This window comes from Homo sapiens, chromosome 16, assembly GCF_000001405.40.
Source record: "Homo sapiens chromosome 16, GRCh38.p14 Primary Assembly".
Taxonomy (NCBI): domain Eukaryota; kingdom Metazoa; phylum Chordata; class Mammalia; order Primates; family Hominidae; genus Homo; species Homo sapiens.
This window is the reverse complement of record NC_000016.10, coordinates 82,445,941-82,454,889: the sequence shown is the minus strand read 5'-3', so window position 1 is coordinate 82,454,889 and position 8,949 is coordinate 82,445,941. Positions and strand designations below refer to the sequence as shown.

The 8,949-nt window shown below is 41.7% G+C and overlaps 1 pseudogene; it reads right to left on the bottom strand.

Annotated features, from left to right (window-relative positions):
• Nucleotides 1-457: 457 nt before the first annotated feature.
• LOC124903788 (uncharacterized) lies at nucleotides 458-570 on the bottom strand (annotated as a pseudogene).
• Between the last annotated feature and the right edge of the window lie 8,379 nt (nucleotides 571-8,949).

Below are 8,949 nucleotides of genomic sequence, written 5' to 3'. Positions count from 1 at the left end.
CATATCATCTGCCTCTTAGCTCACTTTTGAAGGTGAATGTCAAGGGTGAAGGGTGGTGGCCTAGAAGGTGAGCACTGCTCAATCTCGGCCTCAGTGAGGGAATTCCAAAGGCTGGGACTCTCCGTCGGGGTTTCCAGTAGTATGCAGAGACTCACAGAGCAGACTGAGCTCCGCTGGGGTGCAAAGACTGCTCTGCAGAGTCTGTTCTCGGCAAACAGCCAGGCCTACCCCAGGAAGGAGCTCAGGGTCTGGAGGTGTCATCAGGTCACATTTATCCAAAGGGATCATTCTCATGGTCCTCTTGTTTCTCCCATCCAGCAAGCAAGGGATCCTTCCTTTTTATTTTCCTGTCCTTTTCACACCTGTCTTTCTCCATCAGATCGCAACAAGACCTTGAATTCACCCCATAACCGCTGCCTATAACTGATTTCCAAGTTTTTGTTTTTCCTTTTCTTTTCATCAGATGGGTAAGGGTAATGTGCCCGCCACATCATAACAAGGCTTGAGGGAGGTACATTTCACACATGAGTATGAAAACCCAATCATCACACTTAGGAACCACAAAAGGATGGAGGGGAACGGTTTTTTGGTTTTGTTCACTGTCTCTGCTGGTGAGACAGAAACCTCTATTCTGTCTCTCTGGCTTCCCTTAGAACCTGCAAGAATCCAAGTCTCAGTGCTCCTGCCTCACACCCTCTGGTAGGCATCTGCTGTTTTTGCATGCCCAGCTGGATTTTCCTTTGCAAAGCACCATTCTACCTTAAGAGTCACTGAGGTTCAGGTAGGGCTGATCCCCCGCTTACCTTGAGACACAATGATGAGACCTGGCCAATCAGAATCATGGTGATCATTCAGGGCACAAGCTCGGCCCATGCAGGTCAGCCCTGGGACATTTGCAGACATTACTAGGAAAGGGGTGCAGTTTGCGCTACTGGGATTGCTCCAGTGGTGAGGCAAAAGCCTGAGGCTACTGTTTTCAGCTTGGCCACAACCCAGCGAAAGCCCATCAGTGAATACGGCCATTGCAAAAGAAAGCAGTTAAGGCATGAGGAGGGACAGCATCAAGGCCACCCCATTAGAGCTCCTAGACCCAGCCAAGCCTGAAGCCATTGCTGCCCTAGGCTTTTCAGGTACAGGAGTTGTATTAGTTCTCTTTTGCTGGCGTAAAAAATTACCACGATAACGGTAAGGATAGCCTAAAACAACACAAATGTATCCTCTTACAGTTCTGGAGGTCAGAAGTCCAAAATCAAGATGTTGGCAGGGCTGTGTTCCTTCTGAAAGCTCTAGGGCAAAAGCTGTTGCTTTGCCTTTTCCAGCTTCTAGAGGCCACCTACATTCTTCGGCTCGGGGCCCTTCCTAACACTGCTCCAAACTCTTGCTTCCATCCTCCTGTCTCCTACTTCTGTAACCAAACCTCTCTGTTTCCTTTATAAGGATCCTTTTCTTTATGTTGAGACCACCCAGATATTCCAGGATCATCTCTGCCATTTCAGGATCTTTGACTTAATCAGATCTACAAAGCCCCTTCTGCCATAAAAGGCAACGTATTCATGGGTTTCAGGTATTAGGATGTGGATATTCATGGATTCTGGGGATGAGGATGTGGATATTCATGGGTTCTGGGGATTAGGATGTGGACATTTTGGGGTGCCTTTATTCAGCTGACCACAGGAGTCCATGTCCTCCTTTTTTTTTTAGAGCCACGTTAGGGCGGGAATCTGTCACTTACAATAGAGTCCATAATACGTATTCCTAAATCCACACCATCATCTTACTTCTGAAGAACAGACAAACCCTAGTATTCAGTTCATCCAATCAGAGTTATAATTTCCTTGTATCACACTTCAGTATTTTTAATTTTGGCCAGCAGTACAGAATAGAGGTTAGGAACACAGATTTTGGATTCAGAAAGCTTCGGTCTACATATTGACCTTTCCACTTACGAGTTAAGCCTTTTAAGCTACAATCCTCCTGATCTGTCAAATGGAGATAATGAAAGCACCTGCCTCAGCTGGTAATCGTAAGAATTAAATGAGATAATGAATGCATTGTGCTCACACTAGAAGGTCAATGCTCGATAAATAATGCTCTTTCCACTAAGATTGCAGACATGACTCCTTCCATCTGGTATTACACTGATTTCTTTTATACAATGTGTCTCAATTAATTGCTTCATTTTTATTTAGCTCCTTTAGAAGTGGCTCCAGACTCAGAGAATGTACCTTGTTGGATCTTCACACCAACACCTACATTTTAACGGTGTTGTTGGCAAGCGGTTTCACAGAACAGACAACAGAGACAACTTTTTGCAAGCTGGCCGTGACTTCCTTCCTTTATTCTCTCTCTTTATTGCTGACATTGCTCTACCTCCAGCGCAACCCTACCCCATCTGTGAGGTCGGTATTTTTCAGCCACGCTAAGCAAAGACTTTTCTTCATCCCTGTGTAATTTTGTTCTTTCCCCAGCTTATTTAATAACTGTGGGTTTTTTTTTTCATGTTCTTACAGAAAGTGGGGTTGCTCCTCCCCTCTGTCAAATTCCACTTGCCACTTAATGCTCCAGTTTAACTCTGCAGAAATTATTTCGGCCTGGCACTCCCTGGGCATTGCTTTTGTGTGCAGGTGCCACTCTGGGTGGAGTCAGGGCATGTGTTTAGAACTTGGCAGTGCTACCTCAACAACATAACAGGAAACAACAGGCAGCGGCTGCACGGAATGGTTCAAGTTTGGTGGCCAGCAAGGGGCAGTCATCTGTGACATGTAACAAGTCATGCTGTGTGGTTCACGGAGGCTGATGTTTCAGCAGATTTTTATATCCCAGATACAGGCTAACCGGAGGAAACAGGATAGGAACTTCCTAGAGACAGGTAAATTGATGCCAAGCTTCTACCTGGATACCTGCATACCTGCCCATCCCAGCATCAAACTCACCCACTCCTCCCTCTCCTTCCAGTGAGGAATTTATTTAACACTTATCTCTACACATTTAAAGCTAATTTTAAAAAAACTGTTCATACAATTGATTAAAATATACATGTGGAAGACATTTTTATTTTCACTCCCCCAGCTAGTATATACCCCATATTGCTGAAGTAGAGAGCAGGTATCATGTCATCCCAGGGAAGGCATCAGACCTCTTCACAGCTTCAAGATGACCTAAACCACTGCAGTAACTCCTTCCTACTTTCCCATCAATTGGCCTAGAAGTGGGCACGCAACCAAACTCTGTCCACTGAGACACGGGGAGAAGCCTGCTGGGAAGCTTCCTCATGATAAGGAAACAATAGTGCCTCAGAAAGAAAGTCTTTTTGTTTTCCTGCCTTTCTGCTTGGGATGCAGGACTCGATGCTTGAAGCTGTGACAACCATTGATCCCCATGAAGTAAAGGCCAAAAAATAATCTTAGAGATGATGAATTCCCCTCCTACCTCCCTGAACTGTGAAACCAACTTCTTGTTATGGTATATATTTAACTACCTTTATTATTTAACCCACTATTACTTGGGTATTTTGTTACTGGCAGCTGCATGCATTCTAAATGATACACTACCTCTTTGTTTTCTAAAGAGACTATTAAACAAAATGTAACCCTCTCTATGCCTGCCTTAAAAACTGTATGTATAAACATGGTGGCAACATCAGTCTTCTTACTGAACAATTTTAATGAAGTCAAGTGTTAAGAAGTCCCCAAATGGTAGTTACAATCTTTGGATGTTCAGTTCTCCCATTAAGTTGATTGAGCAAGGCCTTTACCTCCCCTCAGCAGTCTATTAAGTGCATTGCTGGGTTCTCATCACCCAAAAATTGCAGTATGTGATGGTTCTCACTACCCAAATATTGCAGTACTTGTCTATCTCAGTCCCTTTTCCCCATCTTGGCCACATAGCAAGATGTCTTGACCACAGCTTGCTATGTAGAAATATACAGAAGGCAAGAAAAAAAAAATCCTAGAATTCCCAGCTGTGTAGTATGAGAAACCCCCAGCATGGAGCTGATTTCAAGAGGGTGTAAGAGGAATAGAATCAGGAACCACAACGCCTATGGACATTGGTAATTAAATACGGCAGCTTGATGACATAGATTCCAGTTTAGACTTGACCTAACAGGTGATGTTTTTACTGTGGCCTTGTATCTGATAAGGAAATTAGAAATCTCAACATAAAGTTGTCAAGGGACAAATTAAAAATATTACATTGGGTCATTGGTTAGTCTTCAGTAGACCTAAGGCCTAAACATTTTACAGCTTCCCTAGCTACAAAAGGCAAATGTACAGAAAGTGTGACATGCCTGATGATACCTAAGACTGAAAGAGCTAAAATTCTTAAATTAACGTCAGCTCACCAGCAAGGAAGTCTTATGAGAGTACAGGTAAAAATCAGATGTTCCATACAAAGGAAATTTCTGGAAACATGGCCATAGGCTCCGCAGTGCAAGTGCAGGTCAACCACCAAGAAACTGGTAGTCTATGTGTCAAAAGTTCTCATGAAGTGGAATTCATTCCTCTGATGGTTTTACTAGCCCCAGGGGCTGAGCCCTCAATCTTAGAGGTTCTGAAAGCTGACTTTTCCAGCACACCAAGATCTACTCCTTTTCTTAGTTGTGGAATCACATTACCCGACCTCATGAGACTTGTTATAAAACTTCAATATCAATTTTATTAACATAAAATGATAAATGACTGGCATAGAAACTTTTGGAAGTTCTCCCAATGAGTTGACTCTCTTCCCAGACCCTGACTTATAAGGAGGCCCAAACCTATTTTACCTGAAAGCTTAGTGGAATTACAAGGCATTGGACTTGTAGGAGCATCGCACAAGATAACCTAATGCAGCAAACACACTCTGAAGATGGCTTCACCAAGGGACCAAAGCCAACTGACCTTACTGCCTTCAACCAGCTCCAGGAGGGATGCCCTTGCCAATGGGTCCAGAATCCTCCAAGTTGGCTGGCAATGCCCCTTTCTCCTGGACAGAGTCTGGGTGGATATTGCCAAAAATTGCCTCCAAGATTCTCCTTTCACTTTGCTTTCATGAACAGATTAAAATTCCTTTGACCAACATGTTTTTCATTAGATATGCTTATTCATTTGATCTCAGTTTGCTGAGGTGATTTGCAGCCTGGGAGCTATCTCTTCTCTTACAGTTGTTAAGATCCATTATATGTTAATTTTAAAACTTAAATCTCAGAGTATAATCCTATTGTCACCGGACGCATGGTGAATATCACACAAGAGCCACCAACTAGTTTCTATAAACTCTCTATTGGACTGTGAGTCCCACATTAGATCAGCAACATATGAGCAGCATGGTTCCACCCCTACCTGTTCATTTCAATCATTCATTCCTTCCTTCATTCATTTGTTTATTCAATAGATATTCACTGGTCGGCTCCTATATGCAGGCATTGTTCTAAGTACTAGACATACAGCAGGAAACCAACCAACCAAACAAACAAAACCTGTCCTAACAGAGCTCACATTCTCTCTGGAGGAGATAGATAGTACACAAATACTTGTCATATGTCAGATGGCAAGGAATGATATGAGGAAAGGCAGGGAAGATAGACAGATTTCTAGGAATAAGTAAGGCATGGAGCATGCAATTATTAAAATGTGGCACTGGAAGTCCTCATTAAGAAGAGTTAGGGGCCGGGCGCGGTGGCTCACGCCTGTAATCCCAGCACTTTGGGAGGCCGAGACGGGCGGATCACGAGGTCAGGAGATCGAGACCATCCTGGCTAACACGGTGAAACCCCGTCTCTACTAAAAATACAAAAAAAAAAAAAATTAGCCGGGCATGGTGGCGCGCGCCTGTAGTCCCAGCTACACGGGAGGCTGAGGCAGGAGAATGGCGTGAACCCGGGAGGCGGAGCTTGCAGTGAGTCGAGATCGCGCCACTGCACTCCAGCCTGGGCGACAGAGCGAAACTCCGTCTCAGAAAAAAAAAAAAAAAAAAAAAAAAAGAAGAGTTAGGGAGGTGTGCAAGCTATGAGATTATCTAAGGAAAGAACATTCCAGGCAAAGGCAGCAGTAAGCACGGCTGGAGCAGGGTGGACATGGGGAGAGAAGCAGGAGTTGAGGTCAGGGAGTTCATGGTAAGCTGAACTCATGGCCTATGCCTGTGTCTATACAATACCTGATACATGGATGAAAGAAAGTAAAAACATACCATTGATGGAATGTTCTCATCCCTCTGGTTCACGTAAACAGATAGAAAGACAAGGCATGGTTTAGCAGAAGATATTACCAATACGATATACCTAACAACTTGTATTCGGAATATATTAAAAGCTCTAGAAATTCAATAAGAAAAGGGCAGGCAGCCTAATAAAGAAATGGCAATAGACTTGAACAAACACTTTGTAAAAAAGCATATCCAAACAGCCCCCAGAATCCTAAAAGGTGCTCAATCTCAATGTCATCAAGGAAATGCAAATTACAGCTACAATAAGATGTCAATTCACACTGACCAGAATGACTGAAATTAACAAGCTTGACAATACCAAGAGTGGAGGCTACTGAGAAAGAGAAAAGTCACCCCAAAAACGGGAAGCTAGGCTATAGTATTCTCCCATTGAACATATTTCCTGTTACACCACACAATGAGACCCCTCCATAATCACATCTGAACACAGACAAAATTAAGAACAGTGTTCAAGCTACAAAAGCAACCAAACACACTGTATTTCAGCTATTATGGGTTGAATCCTATCCCTTCAAGAAATAAGTCAATGTCTTAATCACCAGTGCCTGTTCATGTGCCCTTATTTGAAAATAGGGTGTTTTTGCAGATGCAATCAAGTTAAGAGGAGGTCATTAGTGTGGGACCTAATCCAGTACGGCTATTGTCCTTATAAGAAATTGACTAGAGATACAGACACAGAGAGCACATCATAGGACAATAGGGGAAGAGATTGGAGCAATGCACCTACAAGCCAGGGAGAGCCAAGGATTGCCAGCCATCACTAGAAGCTAGGAGAAGGGCATGGAATTAATTCTCCTTCAGTGCTTCCAAAATGGAATTAGCCCTACCAACACCTTAATTTCAGACTTTTAGTCTGCAGAACTGCGAGAAAATAAACTAAATTTCTGCTCTTTTAAGCCACCCAGTTTGCAGTACTTTGCTACAGCAGCCACAGGAAATTAATATGTTGGCTTATGTAAGTCAATGCTACTTCTCTTCAAATTCCAGTTTAGCCTCATTCCATTCTTCCTGCTTTCTGGATAAAAATGATTAAGCCATCCAGTCACAGAATTAACCTGGCTTCCTGAGAGTATCCAAGTAAGATCAAAGTCCAGTTTCCTTGAACCCTCCCAAAACCACCTAACAGAAGCCCAAATCTCCTAATTCTTCCCAACACCCTTTTCTTGAGACGTCTCACCATCCCCTTCGTGTGTGCTCTCCCTTGTTGAAATGAATTAATGAACCTAAATTTGTTCATTTTCCACTACAAATGTATTCCTAGTGGTCTTCCAATGTGGAGCATTGACAATATGAATTGGCATAACTACTTCAAAAACTATTTGGCAATATCTACCCACATTGAAAATGTGCATGGCCAGTGAACCAAAAATTCTACTCCTAGACATAAGCCCAAAAAACGCATGCCTATGTATCCCAATAAACATGTATAAAAATGTTCTTTTTCTTTAAATTTTTTATTTCCGTAGGTTTTTGGGAAACAGGTGGTATTTGGTTACATGAGTAAGTTCTTTAGTGGTGATTTGTGAGATTTTGGTGCACCCATCACCTGAGTACTATACACTGAACCCACTTTCTAGTCTTTTATCCCTCACTCACTACCCACCCTTTCCCTCTGGGTCCCCAAGGTCCATTGTATCATCCTTATGCCTCTGCCTCCTTATAGACTAGCCCCCACTTATAAGTAAGAACATATGATGTTTGGTTTTCCATTTCTGAGTTAACTCCACTTGGACTTGGAATAATAGTCTCCAATCCCATCCAGGTGCTGCAAATGCCATTAATTCATTCCTTTTTATGGGTAAGTAATATTCCATTATATATATATATACATATATATATGTGTATATATATATATATATATAAAAATGTGGTGTATATATATGTATATATATAATGTGGTATATATATACATCACAGTTTCTTTATACACTCATTGATATTTGGGCTAGATCCACATTTTTGCAATCGTGAATTGTGCTGCTATAAACATGTGTGAGCAAGTATCTTTTTCTTATAATGACTTCTTTTCCTCTGGGTAGATACCCAGTAGTGGAATTGCTGGATCAAATGGTAGTCCTACTTTTAGTTTAAGGAATCTCCACACTGTTTTCCATAGTGGTTGTACTAGCTTACACTCCTACCAGCAGTGTAGAAGTGTTCCCTTTTCACTGCATCCACACCATCTATTATTTTTTGATTTTTTGATGATGGCCATTCTTGTGGGAATAAGGTGGTATCACATTGTGGTTTTTAACCTGCACGTCCCTGATCATTAGTGATGTTGAGCATTTTTTCATATGTTTGTTGTTCATTTGTATATCTTCTTTTAAGAGTTGTCTATTCAGGTCATTAGCTCACTTTTTGATGGGATTGTTTAGCAAGAAACAAAAATGTTCATAGTCGCATATTCTGGTAGAAAAAAAGCCCTTTAAACAACCCAAATGTCCATCAATAGAATGAATGAGTAAATTGTGGTGTATCATCAAATAGAATTCCATACAGCAATAAAAAGGAATGAATTACTGCTATAATAAATTATATAAATAAGTTTCAAAAAATGATGTTACCTTTTTAAAAAGCTTGACATGAAAGAATATACACTGTATGGGTCCATTTATATTAAGTCCAAAAACAAGCAAAATTGATGAATGAAGTAGAAGTCAAAATTGTAGTGAACTGGGGGAAACAAAAGTCAGGGCTACTGGAAAGCTAGTAACGGTTTATTTCTTGATCTGAGTGGTCATT